Genomic DNA, 27998 nt, shown 5'->3' on the forward strand with positions numbered 1-27998 from the left:
TTCTTTATTCCCTTCTCAGTCATTATAGTTTTCATGTCTAGAAGTTTCATTTGGCTCTTTTGAAAAATATCTTCAGTGTCTCTGCTTAACATGTTCAAACCTTCCTCTAGCTCAGGGGATGACAAATGGCAGCCCATGAGTCAAATCTGGTCTACCACCTGTTTTTGTAAATAGTTTTATTGGAACACAACTATGCCCATTTGTTTATGTATTTCTGAGTCAGTTTCAATTGATTAATTTTTATCTTCATTATAGCTCATATTCTTTTGCTTCTTTGCATGTATGGTAATTTTTTATCAGATGCCAGACATGGTGTATTTTTTCTTGTTGGATGTTGGATATTTTTGTCTTCCTATAAACATTTTTTGAACTTTGTTTTGGGGTACAGTTATGTTATTTGGAAATAGTTTGATCCTTTCAAGTTGTGCTGTTAAGTTTTTGTTAGGAGGGACCCAGCAGCCATTAGTCTAGGGGTTATTTTGCCCCATTACAGAGGCAAAGCTCTTCTGAGGACTTTGCTCAGTGCCCCATGACTTACGACTGGTGAGAACCCAAATGATTCCCAGCCTTGGTAAGTGTCAGATATTGTTTCCTCTAATTGTTTTGTATGATTCTTTTCTTGACCTGGGTTCTTTCCTTATACACATGAGCCGATCTGTACTTAGCTGAAGATTTGAGGGACTTATTTTTCTATGCTGCTCTCTCCAGTTTCAGCACCTCATCGCGGGAAGCCTTATGGACTTTGCCTCGGTTATACCTTCTTGCACTGTGGCCTGAAAACTGTCCAGGCAATAATCTGGATAATTTGGGCTTGCCTTGCTTTTTTCTCATATCTCAGGAATCACTGCCCATTTGTTGCTTGATGTTTTGAAAAATTATTCTTTCATATATTTTGTACAGTTTTTTAGTTGTTTCAGGTAGCAAGATAAATCTAGTTCTTGTTACTCCTTGGCTCAAAGTAGAAATCTTCAGAAGCCTAATTACTTCAGATGGCAAGTGATATTTGCATTTTACCATATTACTAATAAATAACAAATAATAATGATATATATAGGTGACAAAACGGGTACTAATACATTCTGTTGAGAATAAAAATTGTTACAATCTTTCTGGAATGCTATCTGGTAATATGTATCACAATTTAAAATAGTTATTTGATGTTGCAGTTCCAAATCTAGAAATACATCCTAAGCAAATACGCTCATAAGTTTTAAAAAGTATTTTTTAAATAAAAATATTTAAAAAGTGTTTAAAAAGTAGAATTATTGATAAAACCAGGAAATAACTTGAATGTCAATTATTAGTTAATTTTTGCATATGCAAATATTTATTACTTAAAAATCCTAAAATAATTACCTTTGCATGTTTTTGTAATTATTTCCTTAGTTGTTAAATATATGCATGCATATACATTGAGTATACCACTATTTTACTATTACAAATATTGAAGTGGATGTTTATTAACATGAAAAGATGTCATCAACATATTAAGTGAAACAGCAAGTTACGAACTAGTATTATAGATGATACAGTGGAAAATATACAAACACACGAACACATGCACACATACATATACACATATAATATTCCTCTGGGAAGTAGAATTAGAGGTGATTTTCATTTTCTAGTTTCTGTTCTTATATATAGAATATTAATAGTGAGCATGTATAGCTTTTATAGTCAGCTAAAAATTAAATAAATAAAGCTTTTACTACATTTTTAAAATGAAGATAACAGAAAAGAAATCTGTATATAGAAGGGTTGCAAAGTTCTTAGAAACTAGATTATAAAATGGAGATAAAACCTGTAATTTGTTAGTTGGGAAGTCTGAGTGGTGGGAAGCTGGATCTGAGTCTGAGCCCTCACTTTTGCCTTTGTAGGTAGGGTGATCCTAGGCAAATTATGTAATACCTTTCACTTTAATAGTTTTAAAGTAATTATTTGCAAATTATAATACCTCCTATTATTGTTATATTTATGTCACAGGTAATATAAACACTTGGCAAAAAATAGGGTATTTAAAAAAATTGTTTTACATGGGGGAATAAGAATAGTTTTTACCAGGCATAAAATCCACTTGGATTATGGGATGAGTTTATTATTATCATGGTGCAATTAGCAAATACTAATTATCTCTGTATGCACGCTGCCATCTTTAATTTCAATTAAGCTCAATTTTTGTCTAAAATCTGATCTTCAATTAAGGGAATCACAGAGTATTTTGTTTCATTTAATTTTAACCGGGAGTGGTGTGTATACTTGCAGCTGGTAGTTCTTCTTGGCCGCTCTTCCTTCAGTGTGTCTTAGCCCACCATTGTTCTGCTTGACTGCCCCATTCTGGCTGGGGAGGTGCACAGGCCTATTATATTACTACTGCAGAAGTCACAGTGACATTGTGGCCTTCCTCATATTTCTCTCTTTCTTACCACCCCTTTACTCCTAGGGATAAGCTGGCTCTGAAGAACAAGAGCAACTGTGTTTTTCTTAAAACAAGTTGTTATTAGTAGGAAAATTAACAGGCATTAATGATGAACTCTTCCAGTGAAAGCATTTTTTAACTCTTTTACACCCCTGTGATGGTCCAGCTCTGGAGACTTCACAGAGGCAGGCAGTCTATCAGCTTCTTTCCTTTGCATTAAATATAATTGCGTGCCACTAATACTGTAGGCTAGAAACTAGCATTTATTACCAAATACATCACTAATCTTTCAAATAAAAACACTGGCACATCAGCTATCACATGGATACCGTTTTATAGTCAAATAAAGACTCAAAGCATCAGTGCTACAGTCTGTCTGGGTTTGGAATATTTTTATGCACTGCTGTGAGAAAAGCAGGTGCACTCACACATCTATTTCTAAGATTTGTCTATTTTGTCAGATGATTTGGGTTTAAAATTTCTGCAGATGTCAATTTAAGCCATTTTTGCTATTAGTAGAACAGTTTAGAAGTTAGCTCTTGTAAGTCTCACAGATATATATTTCCTGTGGAATGACTTAAATCCAAAGTTAGCTCAAAATGAAACCCTCCCCCTCTGAATATTGCTGTTTCAGCCTCACAATCTTTTCCAGTCATAGTATCAATACTCCTTTGCAATTTCTTTTGCTGCCCTCTAGCCCTTGGCTTCACCTTCCATTACTGTATTTCCTTGATGAGAGCATGGACCAGGCTCTGAGGTATAGAAAGAAGGAGTCCATAGATTGTGGACTAGGTGGGCCAGCTTTGTCATTGAAGTCTTGAGAGTGCATAATGGGGCCCATCTGTCTATAATAGTCAGTGTCTGTTCACTGATATTGGCATCCTGGTGAGAAGTGTGAGCTAGATTGGTAATTTAGCATTTCATCCTAAAGCGAAAGTTTCTATGAACCAACATCATGTAGACTAATGCCCTTGCTTAACAAAAGAAGTCATCAACTAGTAATTCCATATCCTTTCATACTGTGCTCTGCCACCTCTCCACTGCCCCAATCCTTTTTTTGTAAAATCATCTGATCAAATAATATCTCCTGTCTTTCAATTACTTTCATATTATTATATTTATTTTTCTTAAATTACCTACAAGGAAATGTCTTCTCAGTTACCTCAAGGTTAAGGTCAATTAGCTCCATTTGCTTAGTAGTGTGTGCATTGTGAAGCAATAATATATCTAAATTAAGCAAAATTTAATCTCCCATAAAATTATGGTTCGTTATATCTAAAATATCTTTTGTTATATGTTTTGTAGAACAGAGTTTTTAGTCAACCTTGATTTTTTTGTTAAAGAAGGAATTTTCTTTCTTAAGGAAGAATGCTGTCTAAATACAAATTATTGTTATTGTGGATACTAATGACCTTTATTAAAAATTAAATTTTTTTGTATTGAAATTTAAAATTTAAAAACACCTTCCTTTTGCCAGAACCCAAATATTCCTGATAAAGATCAAAGGTCACAGAATTAAATTAAAATGATCCAGTAGTAAAATAGCAAAGTATTTAATAAATTCTTTTCACAATTGCTTAAATTATGTGAAAAGGTTTATCAAAACATCTAGGACCATCTTAAATTACAACACAGTATTTACTCAAAGAAGTCTCAGGAGAAGTCACAATAGATCCATCTGGAAGGATTTCAACCTCCGCAAAAAGATAGCCATGTTTAAAAACGAAACCCAAACTAGAAACACAAATCATTTTCCTCATTTAATTTTTAAATATATTTAAGTCATTTTCCATTGTATTATAGGTATTAAAAGTAATGGCAGAAACAGCAATTACTTTTGCACTGGCCTAATAGCTCAATTTTAATAATCAAAGATGCTAGCCATTAGGGTACAAATAATGGGCATATTTCTACTCTAGTAGAATGTTTTTAACTATTGTTTGTATTGGTCAAAAAACCAAAGCAATATTGTAAAATTGGGGTGTCATTTACCGTACCCCAAAAGCAATGTGTCTGAAAGAAATAATTCACTATGGTGTGTGCTTCAGAGGGATCTGGAATATGGAGCTTGAAAACTAGAAGGAAGAGAATGGACATCTTAAAACTATTTTAACAACAACAAAAAACGAGCAATAAACATGACATTTTAAAAAAAGGATAGACTGTAACTCCTAAGGAAATCTTGTTTCCCCCTGTGACGTTGAGTCTGTATTCTGCTGCAGTCTTAACCATCTCATTCAACAGTGGCCGCTTGACCATCTCATTCAACAGTGCCCAAGACAGTCATTTTTCAGCCAAGGCTCTCAAAAGCTAAAGCCAGGTAAAGGTGTTAGGTACTTTTAATTTAGATTAATTAATCAATTTTGATACATAGGAATGAAACATTTAAGTCTTTCCTTAAGTTTATTATTTTAATACCTAAAGAGATAGACTATATGGCAATAGTGAACTTAATTATTTAATTGAACTTAGCTTTAAACATTTTATTGTTAATATTGTTGTTGGGTTTTTTTTTTTTTTTTTTTTTGAGACTGAGTCTCGCTCTGTCACTCAGGCTGGGGTACAGTGGTGCTATCTCAGCTCACTGCAACCTCCGCCTCCTGGGTTCAAGCAGTTCTCTGCCTCAGCCTCCCGAGTAGCTGGGATTGCAGGCGCCCACCACCACGCCCTGCTAATTTTTGTTTTTTTAGTAGAGATGCGGTTTCACCATCTTGGCCAGGCTGGTCTTGAACTCCTGACCTCGTGATTCACCCGCCTCGGGCCTCCCAAAGTGCTGGGATTACAGGCGTGAGCCACTGTGCCTGGCCATGTTGGTTTTAACTACCACTGCAAACAAAGGGGTTATCGTTTATAGACTTCCATACTTGATTTGACTTGGAAGACAAAACCATTAGCTAAATGGGACTGGTAAAGAATTTTCAGGTCATTCAGAATTGACTAAGATTTGGAGAAACAGTCATAGCTGCTGGAACAATGTGAGTTCACAAGTGCTGCTGAATAGATAGTTCTTTAAGTGATCCACAACAAGTCAGCCTGACCCAATTACATGGGTCTTTGTCCAACTCACCCACAACATTTAGACTTGTTGGCAGCATTGAAGTAAAATAGAAATATGAACTTTATAAGATCAATAAAATGGCATTACATCTTGAATTTAATTTAGATTTAACCAGGGACTTGAACTGACATGAACCATGAACCAAAAGCTAGACAAAACTGTACTAATTTGCCAATCTTTCTTTTCCTACCAAAAGGAAGAGAAAAAGCTATCAGAGTGGTTCACACTGCAACCTCACCTAGATTTATATTTTCTCAGATTATTCATTGTAAAAGATACTAGATATTTGTCAGCCAAACTTGAATATAATATTTAGTTGGAAAAAACTTTACCTCTATAAAGGAAAGAATGGATGTGGTTTGTCCCTATTTCATGGTAGCCTGATAAATTTTTAAAAAGTACATCGATTGGATAAAAGATTGATAAACATATTGAATAATTAAAAGGAATGATAATTTAATTATTGAATAATTTTAGTTATGATGTAACTTAAGGGATATTGGTATAATTATTGAGAAAATATTTACTTTATCTTTTAATCAGAAATAAATACATTAATATATGTATATTTAAATATTTCTGTATATTATTTTTTAATCAATAGAATTACATTTATAGACACATAGAACTCTTATAGTGACTGAACCTACAGGAAATGAATAGTGACAATGAAGGTAATATCCAATGTTTGGCATTGTGTATATTAGACTGCACCTTTTGTTCAGAAAATAGTTACATAGCTCTTTTAAAGTCAATAATAATAATCATAAACAAGATAATCCCATCAGCACAAGTCAGTCTTACTCTGTATATTAATTTAGCATAGTATTACACTTAATGAATTATCATTAATCATAAATATGTTTTTACATGTGCATATTTAAGGTCTTTAACATTTGCAGTCTTGGTTTTTCTGAAGGCCTAAGCTAAAAGACATTCATTTCAAATCTGAAAAGCAGCATAATCAGTCTTCTGAACCTACTGCAATCAATATCTATGCAAATGGGGTGGTTATGGAATTTACACTGCTTTGTCAATCAATCACTAGTCAAGTTCCCACCTTACACTCAATGTACTAATAGATTTTTTTTTCTTTTTAAAGAGACAGTGATTTCTGATTTCTTTCTTTCTTTTTCTGTGTTTTTTTTTTTTTTTTTTTTTTTTTTGAGCTGGAGTCTCGCTCTGTTGCCCAGGCTGGAGTGCAGTGGTGTGATCTCGGCTTACTGTAACCTCTGCCTCTTGGGTTCAAGCAATTCTCCTGCTTCAGACTCCTGAGTAGCTGGGATTACAGGTGCCTGCCACCACACCCAGCTAATTTTTGTATTTTTAGTAGGGAGGGTTTCACCATGTTGGCCAGGCTGGTCTCGAACTCGTGATCTCAGGTGATCCACCTGCCTCGGCCTCCCAAAGTGCTGGGATTATAGGCGTGAGCCACCGCACCTGGCCCAGTGATTTCTTTTTTCTAAGTATTTGTTATATAAATGGGTGGTGGTGTTTTGACTGCCTCCCCATCCCCACGTTTTCCCTGCATACGTACCCATCTTCACTGTGTCAGCTCATACTGCCAGTCTCTCTCTAGGTGGTAGTAGTTGGGGAAGGTGGCTTCCTGAGCTCCACCTGCTGGGCTTCCCATGGCCCAGTAGTTGGCCCCTGAATTCTTAGAAAGAGAAAAAGATCTTTGGGAATTCAGAGGTGGTTGAACTAGCATCCCCAGAGCATTCATCATTTGCTTCTTGCCCACTAGGAGAGAGATCTTCAGTGTAGATCTGGGCAAAAGAAGGGCTCTGTCTTTTGCCTTGATCATCACCTAAAGTTCTATACTTATGTTAAAGAGAAAAAAGACTGAAATATACAAGGCAGGGAAAGTCTGGTGTAACAGCACTTCCAATACACAAAACAAAACAAGAACTAGTTTTTTTTTTTTTTTTTTTTTTGGCTGCCTGTAACCACAGCATGAGTCTTCAGTCTAGAGGACTGTTGAAGAGGCTAATGCATAAGGCTGTCTTGGTATGGGGTAAAAAAGGAAGTTAATAATTCCCCTGTTCTTTGAACTGGTCAGATTACATCTGGTGGATTGCATTGAGCTGTATTCTGAAACATTTAAGAAGGATTCTGAGTAGCTTCAACCTGTATAGAAGAGGATGACTCAGATGGTGAGGAAGCTGAAAATGTTATTTTTAAAGTAGAGAGGTTATAGGTAAAATGTGTTGTTGCTTTTCAAATATTAAAAACTTATCCATAGTCTCAGTATGTGAGTTAGGAATTAAGTTCCTAATTAAGTTGTGGATAACAAGAATATACACATAAGGGTTGTTCTCTTATATAAACAGAGTCTGGAGATAGTAAAGCAGCTCCATAAAGTCACTGAGTACTCCGACTCTGATATCCTTCATGTATGATTATTTCCATCCTCAAGATCACCTTGTGGTAAGTTGCTCAGACTCTTGCAATCACATCCTTTTTCCAGACAGCAGGCAGAAGGGTGGGTTTGGTGTGGAGGAAGGGCACGCCTTCTCTTTTTAAAGAAGGCTTTCCAGAATTCCCTTTCTACTCATCTTTTTTGGCCACAACTTGGTCTTGTGGCCATACCTGGCTGCTATGAAGGCTGGAAATGTAGTTTTCTAGCTAGGTGTATTGCCCAGGATTCTATTATTAGGGAAGAAGGAGGACAATGGATATTGAGAGGCAAATAGCTTGGTATAGCATGTCTAAACTCAGAAGGCAGAATGGATCAGTAGGTAGAAGTTAAAAAGAGTTACATTTTACTAAATATAGAGAAGAATTTCCTAATAGTTTCATCTGCCCCAAATTCAATGTGCTTTTTTAGAGGTACTGATGTCACTGTTGTTGAACATTCAAAAGCAGCTGGTAAATTGCTTATCAGGGAAGTTTTAGGAAGAGACCTGATATGTAGTTTTTTCCAATACTATGTGCCAAGACTATTTCAATATACCTATGCAGAAGCCATGCTGAGTTTTAGTTTGATTAACTATTCTTATAAGAGGTTTCGATAAAATAAGATTTCTGTTTACTACAATCAATAATGACAAATGTTCCGTAAAGTGAACACTTAGTACACAAGTCTTGTTTTCATATTGTGCAGATGCCAGCATATTCTTTTAATGGAAGGCACTGTTGAAATAAGATTCTGTGGACACATACTGACTTCACACACTTAGCAGTCTTTCTGATACATAAAGTTCTGTGCCTTATGACTTTTATTATAGAATAATTTGTTACAGGAAAGATTTGATCAGTTGACTCAAATTTCACTCAGTATAGCTGTGACATAGATACATTTTAAGATTTGTGGCACATGAAATGTATAGCCTCAGTCTTACTTTGTGGTAGATTTTTATTTTCCTGAGGTGTTTCAATTATATATGTTTCTTCAGAAAATAGTAAGATGTTGGTGTGGTATGTATTTTGGATTTGTATTCACAGTCCTCTAATTAAGAGATCTAGACATATTAGAGTTATGACTTTTTAAATTTTAGGCTATTGTGTCCTTCCCTGCCTCATGAGTCTGTAGTAAGTAGACTGAAAGTACTCCAGTACATACATCTAGGTCTGTGCTCATTCTTACTGACACAGATAATATTAAGTAAACACAATAGTTATTGAATGTCTACTCCAATAGAAACAGAAGGAGAAAATCTATTGTTTGCCAAATTAGAAAAATGCCATAGATAAAAGAAACATCATTTTCAAGATTCCAAACAGGTAAACCAAGTATCAGTAAGAACACAATGGCAAACACTGTTGAGTTGGGCTCTTTTAAAGACTTAAATAACTCTTCCAATACATAAAAAGACCAGCCACACATAAATTGGACTATATATATTTTCAAGGCATGCTTTTGACCATCCTTCTCACAGTGTTTTTAGCTGATACCCTAACTTTCTAATACTTATTCAACCATTTACAGTTCAGCTGTGCTTTGTGTAAACCACTGTTGGATCCTAGCTGGTTAATCCTCCTCTTCATTGGCATCCAAGCCTCATTTTCACCCAATTTTAATGCTTGTAGTTTGAGGAATCCTAACTTGATCCTCAGATGAAATGGTTAACTAATATAATATGCACTGTGTTGAACTGAATTGAGTTATGTTTTCTAAAGATGACAATTTATTTTTTTTAGGGTGGAGATTAGTTTAAAAAAAGGGGACTTGATTATTTGTCTTTTTCCTTCCATCTTCCCAACTCATCCCTAAGGAAAAAAAGGGCCAACTTTCTTCTACCACTTTTTATTTCTAAAACTTTGCACAAATAACTCATCTGGAGCTCAGGTTGTTTGTTTGTAGACAGGGACAATAATACCTATTATGTAAGGGTTATGACAAATTAAATTTAATAAATATGTTTTGATCTTTTTCTGTGTTCTTGGTCTAGTAAAATGTAAAATAATTTATTTGTAAAGCTTTTATGACAGTATCTGATACACATTGATCAAAAATTGTTGATTTCTTTTGTATTCTAAAATGAAGTCCTAACATAGCAGGGACCCCATTAAGCCAAAAGTCCTAGCCCTTTATTCCATGGACATCTAAGTTTAGCATCTCCTTGCTGTGCTTGCAGTTTTGGGATTCACTCTTACATAAACCTGTGTGCCCCTCTATCTCTTTTTCTACCACTTACCTGGGGCTTGTTAACAGGTCTATTTCTTGTCTTACCTCCTGCCTGCTGCTTCCCACTTGTCCTGTTTCCCCTGCCCCCAGGGACTTAAGAAACCCATACTCAGTTATGAATGTATGCCTTGGGTGGGTTTCCTTTAGAAACCCATACTCAGTTATGAATGTATGCCTTGGGTGGGTTTCCTTTAGAAACCCATACTCAGTTATGAATGTATGCCTTGGGTGGGCTTCAGTGGTTCTCCACAGCTTCTGCCTACAAGTGTTTTAAAAAGCTTGGTGGGTGTTCACAAAGTGATCCCACTCGTGCAACCAATTCCCAGATGAAGAAACAGGACTTTACCAGCACTCAGGACTCTCTCTTGACATTTTCAGTTACTACCTGCCCCCAACAGTCACTACAGATTGACTTGTTACACTACAATTTATTTTTCCTCTTTCTTCTTAACCTTAGATAAATATATCATACATATTCTTTCATGTCTGTCTTCTTTTGTTTGTAAAATTCATCAGAGTTGCATGTAGTTATTTGCTCATTCTGCTTGTTGTATCTAGTTCCACTGTTCAAATATACCATGTTTTGTTTATACATTCTACAAAATGATAGATGTTTATGTTCCTTCCATTTTTTGGCTATTATGAAAAGTACTGGTATGAACATTCTTATATATCTTTTTTGGCGAACATCTGTACATATTTCTCTTGTGTTATACCTGAGAGTGGAATTAATGGGTCCTTGTGTATGCATATGTCTACCTTTAATAGATTCTGCCCAACCGTTTTCTAAGGTAATTGTAATAATTTATGTTCCCACTTGCCAAATAGTTCTGAAAGAGTTTGTTATCTTTCCATAGGGTGAATGAAGTAGGTGAACTCCATACTGGAATTTTCTCATCTTCTCTCTTGAAAATTAACTGTCAGTTTTTAGGTCATGCTAAAATACTTTTTTTTTTCAGTTTTAGATGAAATTTTGTGCAATTATAAGTTATTAATATAAAAAATTGATACAACTAATTTGTTTTTCTGAACACTATTCAAACAACTGATTTAACATCCGATTTTATAGGTAAATTAAGTAGTAATGTTAACTGACCAGATTCTGTACTGGTTTTGGTTGTCATATTGGGATTAGCTGAAGGCAAGAGAAAGAGCAGAGAGTTACAATAATTTAAAACTCAATAGTTTTTTCTTAAACACCATTATTTAATTAAATTATCTGTCCAGCAAGGATCTGATAAATAATACCTTTAGAGACCTACTGATTTAAGGGGGAGACAACTTAAGCTTTATTGTTAAACCTATATATGAGATTATATTGAATTGTCATATACAAGGTCTTTTGTTATTATTTTCCAGGGGAAAAACATCTAGAATATAAAGTTATATTCATTTAAATGTATTTTTGTTTCAAAGTGTCTAGTATTTGTTGATGTTATAGGTGTTTTGAAATAAATGTAACATAGTTGAATTGGTTTTGTGATCAGTTTATGCTGCATCCATCTAGAAATCACTGAGTTATTGTGGCGAACACCTAACAATGTCAGTGTTTGATGTTACCACACACTTGCACATAATGACGTCAACAAAGCGGGAGCCTGGTTAATGGCTTTCTTCTCTACAGAACTTGTTCAGTAATTTGCTGTACTGGTATTGGTTAATAGGGTAAATTGATTACTGTAAGGAATGCAAAAAGCATAGATTTTATTGGATACTACTGTTTCCTTTTTGCAATAAACCACATCGTAAATTTCCTGTGTTCATTCATCATTGGGTTTATATTATGTTAAATGAAAATGAATCACATTTTCTGAATATTTTTTTCCACACTTCAAAATGTCTTTTTAGATATTGTCTGCCAGCTAATTTACAGCTCTGAAACCTTGTTGTATCATTTGGAATAGAGCATTTGATAATTTAAAGTGGAATGAATCATTGTTTGATGAAGAATTGCTGTTAAATCTTTTGGGATGTAAGAATTTCTTTGCTGCAGTCATATATGTAACTGTATATTTCAGTGAGAATGCCCTCTGAACATTAGAGGACATATTCATGAATTGAAATTCCAAAAACAAATCTAATGATTTGACAGCTCTGCTCAAAAACAGAAGCTCAGCATTTTAGAGGTTGCCATTTACTGAATGAGTCAGAGGGAGTCTGGGAATACCCTTCTGTACTCTGACTCTTTTCTCCCCACTCCTTTGTGCCTGGCTGCCATTGTCCTATGGCACCCACCTAACAGAGTGGCACCCAGTCACCAGCCAGGCTTTGATTTTGTCAGTTGCAGAGGCTAACAGTCAAGAATCTCGGCACAAGAATGCCAATAGTAGCTTACTGCAGTGGCTAAACCCTTGTTCTTGTTCACATGGAGATTTCTTAAGGAAAAAATGATTTCCAAGCTATGCAGAATGGACTAAAAATACAATTTTGACTTTCAAATACCTGATTTCAATAACAATTTTTAGTGTCTAAAAATTAAGAATAGAATTAATTTTGTTATACATTGTTTGAAAGTAACTATAATCAAATCAAATATATTGACTATTTTTCCTATTTGGCTTCTTCTGACTAAACTGTTGCATTTAATATTACAAGACTTCATTTTTATGGATAATCAAGAATGTGCATGAAACCTTAATTTCCAGCATAGAGGGTAATTGCTCAGTAATCATTTACTTTCTTTAAAACATAACTGCATTTAACTAAGAAAGTAAGAAAAAGAGCTATTTTTAAAAATGGCATTGAAATGGTGTATAAGATCAAACAGCGTATGAAAAATATACCCACCTTGGTGTTATTTTACCATCTTTTACCTCAGTAACTTAAAGTGGACCTTTCTAGTTCACTTGTTTAGTCACGGGATCATAGCAGCTTGCTCATCTCTAGTGGTATGAAGCCGTATTTGAGAGGTTGGGCAATAGAGCCCTACAGTGTTATGTGATTTGCTCAGTAACAGAGGTAGCTCCAGCATGCACACCTCTGAACTGCATGAATCCACTGCCTTTTCCACTTGCCTGTGGTTTACCATTGTTCTTTGTTTCATTTACCAGGGTGAGATCTCATTTAACATGTTTTAGATTACAGAGGTTTTATAGTAGAGCTAAAAGCATATAAAACAAGAATTTATTAGAAAGGACACCAATCTTTAACAGCCTCTGCTGGTCTCAGGTTAATCTTACTATGGTATCATTTTCTTAACAATGGACTATCATAAGCTATATCATAGCTCTTATACACATTTATGCAAAACAATTAAACTATAGTGTATGAATAAACATTCCCTGACCCCCACCTGATTTTCCTACCCCCTTCTATGAGCAAGCAGATGGCCATTTTAAAGTAAGATAAGTGGAGAAAAATAGAGAAGTAATAAGGGGCAATTTGAGCAGTCAGTGTACTGTGGTATCCGTGGGACCCTTCTCCAACTTCATGTGATAGCATGCAGTATAGAAAAGGTTCTTTCAGCAAGTGTTTAGGAAAATATGTTCCAAAAGATCTGCATAACATTAGTGTAACCAAGTGTTCCTCTCTCTGGCTTCCTGTTTTGGAATTAAATGCCTTCAGGGTACTCAGAATAACTCTGTTTAGGAACACAAGAAGAATTTAACCTCTTATGTTCCTAATCAATTTTAAAAATATATATATAGATTAAATAGAAAGCAAAAAGATCTTATTCTACTTTGCTTCTCAACAGTTTCAGCTAAAAATTAAAACTGTTTATACATAAAGTCGGTGGTTTAGTTAGAAAACAAAGGTATAAACAAGAATTCTGACAGGATTATTATCAGCAAAATTTTAAGATCAGTTTTGTCCCTGTAAACAAATTTCATAGACAAACCTTTTTACATGTAGGATTATTTCCAAAAGAACTCAGTGGAAAGTTTCTACTCTGGGTGTTTGCAGGAGATAAAGGGAGCAGCTAAGCTGAATTGATGTTTACTTCTTTGTGGTGTTATTGTTCAACATTCTTAAGTTGCTTCTGCAAAGCCAGCAGAGGGAGCACCAAACAATATTTTTGTTTACCTTAAAGCTTACAATGTATTTTAAAAATATTTTCTTTCACTTGCATTAAAAAATGTCTACAATGAATAATTTGTTGATTTTACATTTTTACTGTATAGTTTTAACTTCTCTGAAATTAAAAGACTTGAGGGGCTTTATTATGCAATTTAATTCTATAAACATTCAGTAAATGCTTACTGTTTATAAGACTTGATGCGTGATGGAGAGTCAAAGGTGAATACTCCACAGTCTCTATTCTTCAATAATTTATAATTTAGTTGGAGAGAAAGAAATGTAAATATCCTCTGTTTACAATGCAGAAGGATAATAAAGGTAGAATATGGGCTAATTCTTAATAAAAAACAAATAGGGATATTATGGAGAAGGTGACATTTGAATTGGACTTTGAATAAGAGGTTTCCAAAAATGGAAATTCTAGACTGAATGGAGCAGCATGAATGCAGGGTATACTTAGAGCAAGACAATTCTAGGCCTGAGGCTAGATAGAACCTGGTTGATAGAGGGGTTATGTACTGGGAGGTGAGGTCAGAATGCTAAGGTAGAGTTAGATAATGGAGCACCTTGAAATCCGTGCTAAGTGCTTTTGAGTTTATTCTGTTGTCAGAGGAGAGCAAACTGCACACCATTTCGAGGAAACAAATAATGTTTTGATTAAATAATACTTGTTTCAGTGTGAAAGCTTGCCTGGAGAACTGAGAGATTAAAGATTAGACATTTTTATACTAGGTAAGGTCAGACATTATATCATCGTGGATAATAATAAGAGTAATGGTTGTAGTAATACCTTTCATTTGTATTTGCGAGTATACATATATATACACATGCATACATATTTGTGTATCTACAGAGAACCCTAGACACCTATATATATGTGCATATATATACACACAGTATATGCAATAATACTGCTCTTATATAATATTTATGTACATATCATATATGTATATATGTGTATATATGTATGTATAACATGTGTATATATCTCATGTATATGTGTGTGTATATATCCCTCAAGATAATCCTATGATTTGAAGATATATATTGAAAATGTCAAGTAATATGTATATGAGGTCTCATAGCATAGTCAGAGCTGAGGTGGTACTCAAATTCTAGGTTGTTTGAGTCTAAGCCTGATATTCTTTTTATCATGTTATGCTGTTTTTGCATTATATGATGTCAGTGTTGATAGGAAGGATGGAATGTGCATCAGAGACATTACAAAGGTATAAAATATTTAAACACAAGGCAGAAAAAGGAGTTGAAGATAGCTCTCAAATTTTCAGTCTATGTGACTATGTGACCAGGAAGCAGGAATGGTGTTGCCATTGCCTCCATAGATGTAAGGGAAGGAACAGCTAGGGGAGTGGGATGGGAAACAGGCATAGGGGGGAAGATAATTCCATTTTGGCATGTCAGATTTGAGATCCTGAAGGCAATCTTATAGAAATATGTAGCACATACTTTAAATTTTGGATTTGGAGCCGAAGAAAAGTCAGAGCTACAACTTGAGAATCGATGATATATTTCAGAGAAAGTGTATAGACTAAGAAGAGAAATGAAATGAGAGCCTAACCTTGGTGGAAGACTACATATAGGAGGCTAAGGTAAGAAATAAGAGACAGAAGGAGCCTGCACAAACTCTGACAGAGATGAGAGTGGTCAGGGGAATGCCTTGTTCCTCAATCAGCAAATATTTGCATTCTTGCTGTGTGCAAGGCCTTTGCCCAGAGTATAAAAGAGGGTGCCATCGCAGAATCAACTGTTGTAGGGGACAGTATGGGAACTGAGGAGAGGTCATTAGATTTGTTCACTCAGGAGACCAGACTTCCTAAATATGCACAGAGCTTTAGTTGGGCACTAAAATACAAAGTAGACTTCCGCCTCATGACTCAGTTTATGAGAAGTTAAAAGATCCCAGAGAACTCACACCTTGGGCTGAAATCTGTGAACTCTTAACTTTGATATCCAAGAGAGTTGTTTGTGGATCAAACTTATTTTTTAGTTTCCAAAAGCTGTATAATGCTCTTGTAAGCCTGATTTCTTGTCTTTATTACTTTTTATTTGATTTTTTATGAGAGAAAAAAATCACTATTTTTTATAATGATATATGTTCACTATAAAAAATTCAAATGCAAAAGAGGGATTAAAAAGTTACCCCTCAAATAACCACAATACATTAGATAACCAGAAATAGAATTTTCTTCCCTTTCTAATTCTTCGCTCCTTCCCTTCCTTCTTTCCCCCCATTGATCTGCTGATCATACTATGCCTGTTATTTTATTTTTTAATATATATATATATTTTTATTATACTTTTAAGTTCTAGGGTACATGTGCACAATGTGCAGGTTTGTTACATATGTATACATGTGCCATGTTGGTGTGCTGCACCCATTAACTCGTCATTTACATTAGGTATATCTCCTAATGCTATCCCCCATCCCCCCACCCCACAATGGGCCCTGGTGTGTGATGTTCCCCTTCCTGTGTCCAAATGTTCTCATTGTTCAATTCCCACCTATGCGTGAGAACATGCGGTGTTTGGTTTTTTGTCCTTGTGACAGTTTGCTGAGAATGATGGTTTCCAGCTTCATCCATGTCCCTACAAAGGACATGAACTCATCCTTTTTTATGGCTGCATAGTATTCCATGGTGTATATGTGCCACATTTTCTTAATCCAGTCTATCATTGTTGGACATTTGGGTTGGTTCCAAGTCTTTGCTATTGTGAGTAGTGCCACAATAAACATAGGTGTGCATGTGTCTTTATAGCAGCATGATTTATATTCCTTTGGGTATATACCCAGTAATGGGATGGCTGGGTCAAATGGTATTTCTAGTTCTAGATCCCTGAGGCATTGCCACACTGTCTTCCACAATGGTTGAACTAGTTTACAGTCCCACCACCAGTGTAAAAGCATTCCTATTTCTCCACATCCTCTCCAGCACCTGTTGTTTCCTGACTTTTTAATGATCGCCATTCTAACTGGTGTGAGATGGTATCTCATTGTGGTTTTGATTTGCATTTCTCTGATGACCAGTGATGATGAGCATTTTTTCATGTGTCTGTTGGCTGCATAAATGTCTTCTTTTGAGAAATGTCTGTTCATATCCTTTGCCCACTTTTTGATGGGGTTGTTTGTTTTTTTCTTGTAAATTTGTTTGAGTTCATTGTAGATTCTGGATATTAGCCCTTTGTCAGATGAGTTGATTGCAAAAATTTTCTCCCATTTTGTAGGTTGCCTGTTCACTCTGATGGTAGTTTCTTTTGCTGTGCAGAAGCTCTTTAGTTTAATTAGATCCCATTTGTCAATTTTGTATGCCTGTTATTTTAAATAAAAAATATTAAAATCCTTTTACCTACATTTATAAAAAGGAAAAGAAACTAAAGGTACCTAATCAAATTGTAGAACTTTGAAATAAGTGCTTCTTTACTACACACAATAGTAGATATGGTAGAAGATCTGTCTGAAGTTAAGAAAAGAGATTATGATAAAAATTAACAAGTTTAGAGTTATGGTTTTAGGATACATGTTTCTGTTTAGACCATATACATTGATCTGTTTTGAAAGATGCTTACGTATACTCCACCTTCCTCCCTTTCCTATTTCTGTTTGTTACAATGGTATTTTTATTTTATCAAACTTTATAACATTTACATGGACTTAATTTTGTAATAAGTCCTATAGTTGTTTTAATTCTAATTCTATATTTAACTGGATTAGTCCTCACCATAATTTTTTTACCTTGACTTTTCTAACCCAGAATTTTAACTGTGACTCATATTTTAACTGTCTAGATTCCATCAAGTAGAATCCTCCAGGCAGGTCTCCTGGGTGACCATTTTGTGTTACGGATGTCTTCTGTTATGTGGTATACAGACATCTTGCTTATGCAGACTGCTCTCTAGCTGTGGTTTCTTATCTTCAGAACTCTGCAGATGCTGGTCAGTTATTCTCTGGTCATGAAAGTTGCAGTGGCTTGTGAGGCTGGACTGATGGTTCTCAGTTTTGTATGTGATTTTCGATTTTCTTTCCTTAAAAAAATTTTTCTTTTTTGGTGTCTCCATTCAATTTTAATGTTGTAAACATAAGAAAATGAATTAAATTGAAGCCTTATTTCATAGTGTGCCCCAGAATAAAATCCTAAATAGACTGAATAATTACATTTTTAAAGTGAAGCTGTAGAACTAGTAGATGAAAACACTGGTGATCCTCAAATCTTTCTACAAATGGCCTCAAATAGAAACTATGAAGGGATGATCTGTAAGTTTTTCTGCATCAAAAAGAAAAACCAGAAGACATTACAAAAAAACTAACTATTAATGTGAAAGGACAAATTACAATAGGTAAAATATTTACAGCGTGATAGATGATGGATATTTGTGTTCATATATCTGTTTTGTTCATGGTGAAACTAACACTACAAAAGAAAAGTGGTTAAAGGGCATACAGGGACAATTCACAAGTGGAAAAATTCAAAAGAAGAGAAAACTCCTACTCATTTAATATACTTTTGATAAATCAGAAAGAAATTTTTTTTCTGTTTTGAACACAGGTTTTATAATAAGTAGTTACATATGTTGGGTTAAATAAACATGAGCATCTCTTCAAGCTTTGAAATTCTGTGGTTTGGGGATGTGTATGTATTATCCTTGCTGTTAGATCATTTCTTCCTTTATAAGTCTCAGAAAGATGTCCACTGCATCTTTCTCCTCTTTATCATGCATAGCCCAGAACTTTGCAGGTGGTGATCCTGAAATACAAATTTAATGAATAACAATAATTTGAATTTTTAAAAAGATAATGTTTGTTAACCATTTTTAAAATATATTTGAGGGGGCTTTGAATCTTTTGTATAGGTACTGTAATTGTGATAGGACTTTTTTCAGATTTTGGGGGGTAATTTAGTCTTCTGTTGAGAATTCTGATTAATGCATTTTATTATTTGCATAGAAAAATTTATTATTTTGTATATCTCATAAATACCTAAATCTCATTTTCAAAATTCTATTTGTTAATTTTACTAAATGATGATATACAGTATTGTACTTTAAGACCCTGATTCCTATGAATTACAAAAAGAATTTTGTTTATTATATGCATGATTTATTGGACATTAGTGCTGTGATTATTAAGAACCTTCAGAATAATCGATTGTAGAATAAAATGACAAAACCATGGCATAAACATGCATTTTACATATATGTTTAAAGGTTTGTGATAATTGATCCATTTTGTTATGTTGATTTAAGTAGGGAAACTGAAGATTTTCTTAAATCAAGGTACATATTTAAAGTGATAGAATGATTTTATTGGCTTCATAACAGCAAACTTTGTTTGGAGAACCATATTGTGCAAGTGGTTAGTGATATTAAAATTGGTATCAGCCTTGGGATATCAGATGTATTTATTTTTAACTTTTATGCAGATATAGTTATTAAAATGTACATTTCAAGTACACATTTTGAGTGTCTTTAAAAGTATTTTTGAATGATTTCCATTTGAGAAGTAAGAAGCTAGGTTTGTTAGTTATTAATCCAAATATAGTAGTATAGCTTATTTTATTGATCTTTCTGTGATTTTTAAATTAGGAGTGAGAAAAGTCACAGACGCCGTTTGTTGACATATTGCAATCCATATGTGTGCTTTTTTGATAAAGAAGGTATAGCATATACTATTCCTCCAGAACGTTTAGCACCAGATTTATGATTTTTCTAATTTGGTTTGTAGCTTGCCAAAGAGCATGTGAGTGCATATTTGATCAGAAGCATATTTTGCCTTGAATCAGATGAAGAATACTTAATGAGTCAATGCTAAGAAGCAATGCAGAGAAGATTGCAGACTAGCAAACTAAAAAGGCTTTAAAATAGCTTAATGTAAACTATAATAGAGATAAAGTATTATTATATAAAAAGTCAAATTTTTCAGTTTTTCATGTTCATCCTGTTAATAAAATTATCTGCCATAACTATTGGGAATGATATTTTATATTTATGTGATGCAGTTCACATTTTCAGTGGGATGAAGACTTATTTCAAGTGTATTGTACTTATTCTCGCTTGGGAGCTGGAAAGATGCTAGTTCTACATTAGAGATGCCAATAGCCCTACTCCCTCTAGCAGGCCTTCCTCTAAGAATGAGTGCTAGAAATTACTACTTAAAATTAATTGGTTTTTTTGCTTGTTTGATAAGAAAAAATTATCTCTTTGTTTTGACTTGTATTTGTTTGATTATCAGTGAAGCTAGAAAATGTTCCTGTCTACTTAGCTGTGTCCATTTTTTCTTTCATAAATTACTTATCCTTGTTTTTTGTTCATTTTTCCCTTAAGGTACTCACTTCTTACTGGTTTATGAGATTTTTTATTTATTAAGGATGTGAGCACTTTGTTTTGTATGTTACAAATATTTTGCCTAGTTTTTGTACTTTGATTTTGTTTGCAGTGTTTTTTGGCATACATAATTTAAAAAATAATTATAGTCAAATCTAGTAATCATTTAGTCTATGATTTTTTTCTTTGTTGAGATTTGAAAGACCTGCATCAACCCTACATTATATAAATTTTCCTTCCTTGTGCGACTGTGATGTAAGAGGGAGTAATCAGGCAAAGGCTTTATGTTGCTTAGCTTAAATAAATTATAAGGAATTGCCTTTGTTGGACTGTGGTTCTTATTTATAATGACTTACTTACAAATATCTTATATGTATGATTGGCTGTTTTACCTCAGACTGGGGAGGGCTGTCCTGAAGCACAAGAAGTGTCCTCCCACATTCTGTTCTTTCTTCCTTGTTACTTACTCTCTGCCATGGTAGAAGTGGAGAAAGGGGAGAGAGAAATGAGACATGTTTCCAATGACACTGTCTTCTCATCTTCTCTACTGTGAGGAACACTTTTATGCACATAGAAATTATACTATGCGTACTAAACCAATTATTTGGTTTCCTGCCCTGCCCACAATAGCAATAATAATTTTTCCTAGTGTTCATTGTATAAAATTACAGCTATATTTTGAGTCAATTGAGGCTTTAAGGGTAGCTTGGGAACCTAAATAAAATTATTTCAAGATTAAAATGAGTTACAAATGAACTTTGGAAGGATAGCCCACCTGTAGGTTCTGGGCTGTTGGTCTCCCTTCTTGAGGAACCAAGTCTAAGGACCAGGAATGGGCTAGTTGGTCTTAGATGACTCTTGAGAGTCCCCAGTGATTCGGCATCTTCGGTTTACAGTGAGACTTGTTTTCTAAGTTCTATGAAGTGGGCGGCAGTCTGACTGATACATAGGTAAATCTCTGTGGGATCTAAGACAGCATTAGCCAATAGAATTTCCTGCAGTTATGTAAAATATGTACTATATGACTTCTTTACTGGTGAGAGAAATACTCAGTATTTTTACAGTACAATATGATCGCTACTAGCCCATGTAGATATTAAGCACTTGAAATGTGGCTAGTATGACTGAGAAACTGAATATTTAATGTTATTCAGTTTTAATTAATGTAAATTTCAGTTTAAATAGTCATGTGTGACTAGTGGCTATTATATTGAAAAGCACAGTTTTAGAGGTTTGTATTGAATGGAGTAAACCACAGAATTAACTAACTTTCTTTTTATGTGATAAAAATGTCATAGAATGCATAGATTTTATCTGGATCCTGTTTGGAAGAAATCAACGATGAAAAGTTTAAAAGGCGTTTTTGAGGCAATCTTAGAAAATTGAAAATGATTGGGTAGTAAGTGATTTTATGGAATGAGTGTTAATTTTGTTAGGTGTGATATCAATAGATTTATATTATTAAAGTACAACAGTGATGTTTTCAGATGAAGTTACATGATACCTAGGGTTTGCTTTAGGAAAAAAGTATTGGCTGGAGAGTAGATGAGATAGAATTGGCCAATGTTCACAGTTTTTGAGTTGGCTGATGGACACATGGGATTCGTTTTACTGCTTTTATACTTTTGTATGTGATTGAAAGTTTTTATAATAAACAGTATTGAGTTGAGAGAGCTCCTTGCAGGTCATACAGTCTCGCCTTTTGACCAGATTCATTTACTCAGCCATTAAATGGCAGAGGTAGGATTCAAATCTGTCATTTGGCTTTAAGTTTAATCAATTTTTTTGTAACATCATACTGTCTCATACTTTAAACACATAGTTCTACACCCCATCTGCTTCATGACCTTTGGCAAGTTATTTTGCACATTTCCTTCTTGTATGGTAAGGCCAAATTTGTTAGCAGAGCTGGCCACATAGATCAGCAGAGGCAAAGGGTAGGGTCTTTTATGGCAAGTTGGATCAGGCTGGGATTTCACTGGATTCAGATTCAAGGGCTGAATACAAGTAGTAGCTTGGGAAAGAAACCAGAGGAGAGGTAGCAGTAACAGATTCAAGAGAAGAAGAAGCAAGGGCAAGCTCCTAAGAGAAGTGGAATTGATACAAGGTGGGAATAGGTAAAAGGCTGAGAACACAGTTTGCGTAGAAAGTTAAGTGTGTTGACTGCTAATTCTTACTGGGAGATGGCTATACATTTCAAGGGCAATTTAGCTGACTTGGCATATAGTAGACTGACATTTCTCATTTTGAAATTCATGTTCCACTATGCTTGTCTCTAATCTAAAATAATTGTAATAATATAGAATTTTTGTCCAGAAGGGGCTGTTGAGGTCATATAATTCAACCAAATTATTTGTGTTATCAAATTCATATTGCATTTCCATATAGTAGTTGGCATTGAATTAGGTCCCATAAGGATTATAGAATTTCAGTTATATATGCTGTCAAGAAGATTTTGAGAGAATGAGCAGATAATAATTATGATTATTCAAGTAATATAACTATTTCATTAAATTGATTATTGGTTAAAGTAGAGAAGAATGATTTTATTTATTAATAAAGATGTATGAAACACAATTTTGAATTATATTTACACTTAAGTTTCTAGTCTCAGGGCTATTGTTGAGCAAGAATTTCTCCCATCAGTAAATGCACCATCGCATATTATACATTTTATATGTATATTGCAAATGTCTATGTTGTATATTTTATTTCAGGAGTGAGGGAGGGGAAATTTCAGCTATTAAGCTATCAATGCCTAGAAATAAACTGCTGAGTAGAAGGTCTATTATATTATTGCCTCACTAGGACCTAATTATTTAAAAGCAAAACAAAACAAACATCATCTGGCTACGCCTCCCGAATCCTATTTCAATCAGGATTCCAATGTCTTCAAGCCAATTTTATTTTTCTGAGACCAGGTATTAGAAGGGAAGATCTGAGAGAATGAAGGTGTGATATGGCTGGATACCAGGGTAAAACATCATATGGGTATTCTGATGTTTTTCTGCTTGTATTTATTTGCATTTTCTTGGGCTATTGGAATTTTTTTACTCTACTTCTGAGTTTTTAAGTCAAAACCTAGAAAAAGTATTTAAGTTTCTCATCCTGTACCCAAACTATTCTGTAGTCAAAAGCAACAGGCTCCCAAAGTCAATTTCTAAGTTTAATAGCATATTTTTATTTATTAGGTGCCATTTAGTTAGGACCACCGTGCTCATTTGCTCATTTGTTAATTAATTTAACAACTTACTATATGTTCTTATTGAGGATAAAAGGATGCATAAGACATAGCCCCTACCCTTATGCTGCTTTTATTTTAGTTGAGTAAACAGACATGGAAGTAATTATGATTGAGCATGCCAGTTGTTATAATGGAAGCATATGCAAAAGACAATGGAAACATTATGGAGCAAAGAATTAGGAAATGGAATGAGGTTTGAGTATGGACAGTTTTCACTGAGAAGAACCTTGAAAGAATAAATTTGAGCTGATTAGATTTCCTAGTATATTAATATTAGCAACTGTGAGAACCAGATTTTTAAAAATTTATGCAAGTCATCTGTCAATCAACTTTGAAGTTATTTGTGATTCCATTTCCTTGTTGTCTGCTTCAGATATTTTTTTGTTCTCCAACCTTTGATCTTTGTCTTGTCTGGTTTTGTCTTTGAATCCTGGTTGGTACTGATCCATTTTAGATGATTGACCTTACTTGAGCTATCTCCTGGCACTCTCAAAGTACACTATTCTTGTAACTACGCCGTCCTTGACCTATTTCAGCTTAAAGCAAGAGGAGTTTCATTCATATGATCTGGCCAGGACTCCAGAATCCTATTTCAATCAGGATTCCAGTGTCTTCAAGCCAATTTTATTTTTCTGAGACCAGGTATTAGAAAGGAAGATCTCCGAGAATGAAGGTGTGATATGCTAGAGACCAGGGCACAGGGGATTGAGAGAGAATATACTGAATATGAAAAGTCAAGTGATGGCTGGACTGTGATAACCATGAAAATATGGATTTGGGGCTTTATTCTTCAGGCCAAATGGGGCCTTTAAATGTTTTTTAGGAGGATTGTGGCACTATCACAACTGTACTATAGAAAGATAACAGAGTCATGATTGGGCCATAAGAGGAGATGTTGCTGTCAGAGAGACCAGTTGAAGAAACGAGATGCTGAAGCCTTGTATTGAGCAAGACAATAATGATGGAGAACAATAAATAAATCAGAAAAATTTCATAAATGGAACCAGTAAGAATAGGGAGCTAATTGGAAATTGATGGTAAAGGAAAGAAAAATATTGATGTTATTTTTGACTTTTCTGGTTTGGGTGATTGGACAGGTTATATTGCCTTTGTAATTACATGTGTAATTAATAGAAAAAATTAATTACACGTGTAATTATTTAATGGCTGTCTTCTTCACTAAGCTGAACCCCACAAGAGCAGAGTGTCTTTCTTGTGTGTGTGTGTGTGTGTATATATATATACACACAAATATACATATAATATATACATATATATACAAATATACATATAATATATGTACATATATATATATATATATGTATGTATATATTCCCTAGCACCTGACCCAGTGTCTGGCTATATTAATGTTCTCAACTAATAGTTGTTGATCAACCAACTAGTTTCATTTGTTTACTAAATTTTGTATTAATGACCAGGCACTGTTCTAGATGAACTTTAATACCCTTAGCTAAGACATGAAATGCATGAGGATGAGCAGGTCCAGTGAAAAGATAATGGATTATATTTTGGACATATTGAATTGAGATGCCATGGGACATCCACTTGGAGATATGAATCTATCTAAACTTCAAAACAGTGATCTTGTTTGGAGATTCAGATTTAGGATATAAGTGGATGCTGAAGCCATGGAGATGTTTGGAATTAATAGAATGAGTAAAGTGAGGCATGATAATGGCTGAAGACTGAACTCTGGGGAGTACAAGTACTTAGGAGGTAGACAGAGAAAGAGGAGCTAACAAAGCAACTGAGAAGGATGCCCAGGGTTTTAGGAGAAAAATCTGGGGATAATATTGTCATCAAAGAGAAAAGAGGAGAGAGTTCAAGGAGGGCAATGTCTTGGGATAGATTATTTTGGAAATTTGAATTCCTGAAAGAGTTTTAGGAAGACCAGAGATTTCTGGAATATTCTATCCTTTGTTTTGCCTCAGAATTTATGTTTGAACTATGTTAATTGATAGTCAAATTACTTTAACCTATGGAGATTTTCTACTACTTCAAGCCTATGAAATCCAAATAAAATTCCCTTTATTAATATGTTTCCATTTATAAAGCCTTAAGATTGTTTATTGCCTGACTATGAGAAGACAAAATTTGGAAATAAGTTTCTACTTTTAAATGCAGTGTATAATCTGTTTTTTCTACAGATTTTTGTGGTCCATTGCCCCTTTAACTTGAAAAAATTTTGCTTTTCAATCTTGATAACACTTTTAAAGCAATTAAAAGACAAATCAATTTCTAGCCATTATAAATGGTTGTTAATGCATAAGGGTATTATTATAACATTTGTGAACATACTGGTGTGTGTGGTAGGATGAGAAAGCTGTAATTGTTTGATTTGTAAGGCTTTATTACCATGTTTTTTCTTTTTGAGATGGAATCTCTCTCTCTGTGGCTCAGGCTGGAGTGCAGTGGCATGATTTTGGCTCACTGCAACCTCCGCCTCCTGGGTTCAAGTGATTCTCCTGCCTCAGCCTCCTGAGCAGCTGGGATTACAGGCATCTACCACCATGCCCAGCTAATTTTTATATTTTTAGTAGAAATGGGGTTTCAGCATGTTGGCCAGGCTGGTCTTGAACTCCTGACCTCAGGTGATCTGCCTGCCTCGGCCTCCCAAAGTGCTGGGATTACAGGTGTGAGCCACCGTGCCTGGCCTGAATTACCACACATTTTTAAAAAACAACAATAAATACCACAATCTTGTTTTTACTCTTCTGGTTTTATTTGGAAAAGCAAATTATTTTAGCAACAGACTAGGTTCCTTTACATTCAAACAGCAAGAAAGAACTAAAAAAGAGACAAAACAACAACAACAAACCCTTTTCTTTGGAAATAAAAACACTTGAAGAATTATTTGGCTGTAGGAGTCCACCATTTATTGTGTGTGTGTGTGTGTGTGTGTGTGTGTGTGTGTACGCACGCACATACCCGTGAAGATCTGTTTTGTAGCTCTGAATTTACAAATTGGAAGGGTTGCTACTCCTTTATGACTGATGGACTTCCTTGTAAATATACTCTGTCAATGTGTACTTTACTCCCACTGCATGATCAGTAAATTTGGGTTGAAAGATTGTTATTGACAGTATTTCTAATATAACCTAATGTTTAAAAAATGCTTGACTTGTTGCAATTATATGCAAAATCTTGAGTCTTCTGATTCCGTTAGTTGTTTTGTGTAGTAGAAACTTCCCTGGCCCATTGATAGTCAGGTTGGAGCCACTGATGTGTTTGGCCAGGTTCCAGGAAAGTCTTCAACAATGCCATAGTCTGCTCAGGTACTATTAGCCTAGCAGGCAGTTTCAGAGCCTGCTATACATGAAAAAAGTCACAAATAGATGGATTTGAACATGTATTTAGGACTAGTCAGGCAGGGAAAAACTATAGAAAGAATTGTTCAGATTTTTGATTTAGGCAAATCTTACCTGAAGTAGGATGGAAGTGACTTGATTAAGTGGAATTGAGCTAATAGCTTTTTCCCTGATTTCTTGATAGAGACTGATTTTGATGATAGTTAAGAGGAGATAAAAGAGAATCCCTCCTTTTACTTTTTTCTGTTTTTTTTTTAAGCCCCAGCCACTTTCCCTAACAAATCTTACTGTCTATATTTATATTATATTCTTCTCAAGGCAACATTCAGTCTCCTTTGGCTGAGCAGAAGACTAAAGACTTGACCTCAAAGGAACTGTTATTGCTTAGCCAAGATTTAGGAGAGGAGACATTAAAGTAATTTAGAGGTCAAGTGGCCTTAACCAGGGTAGGGAGTAGGGATGTTTACCCGTTTAGATTTAAAAGGTTCTAATATTTTTGACAGGAAGATACACATTTATTACGTTGCATTTATTTGAAAATCCTTTGAACTTTGCTTATAAATATTATCCTCAAAATATTTGTTAAATGAGTGAAATGATAAAACTATATTCAGTAATATGGGATTCAGTAACCCTACCATGGACCCAGGAATAAGGGTTAGAAGAACCTACGGTCTTTTTTCTTTAAGCAGTCATGATACTGGTTCTTTTATAGTTAATTCTTCAGTTTTGTGTAAAAGGAATTGTAACATGGGGAATTATGGGAACTCCTGAGGTGGTCATAGATAGCTTCAGTCCTGTGTTTTGCCCATAGGAGCCGCTAAGAAGGTGACAGAGGACATAAATGCCCTCTTCACACGTTTTCTATTTTGTCTTTTCACAGTTAGACATAACTGGATATCCTGAAACTTTACTGAAGTTGTTTGTCAGCTGAAGGAGGTTTTGGATCAAGACTATGGAATGTTCTA

The 27998-nt window shown here is 34.6% G+C and overlaps 1 protein-coding gene across 14 annotated transcripts in view; it reads left to right on the plus strand.

Annotated features, from left to right (window-relative positions):
• ATG10 (autophagy related 10) overlaps positions 1-27998 on the plus strand; it is a 284111-nt gene that overhangs the window by 121361 nt on the left and 134752 nt on the right. The window contains exon 1 of one of the 14 annotated variants that reach the window (XM_011543661.3): positions 17480-18072. The exons of the other annotated variants lie outside the window; for them this stretch is intronic. Coding sequence (XP_011541963.1) covers positions 18067-18072 — 6 coding nt within the window. The 5' untranslated portion in view covers positions 17480-18066. Of the gene's footprint in view, positions 1-17479; positions 18073-27998 lie in introns of those variants that run through there. 14 annotated transcript variants of the gene reach the window in all.

The sequence above is a fragment of the Homo sapiens genome, chromosome 5 (assembly GCF_000001405.40).
Source record: "Homo sapiens chromosome 5, GRCh38.p14 Primary Assembly".
Taxonomy (NCBI): Eukaryota; Metazoa; Chordata; class Mammalia; order Primates; family Hominidae; genus Homo; species Homo sapiens.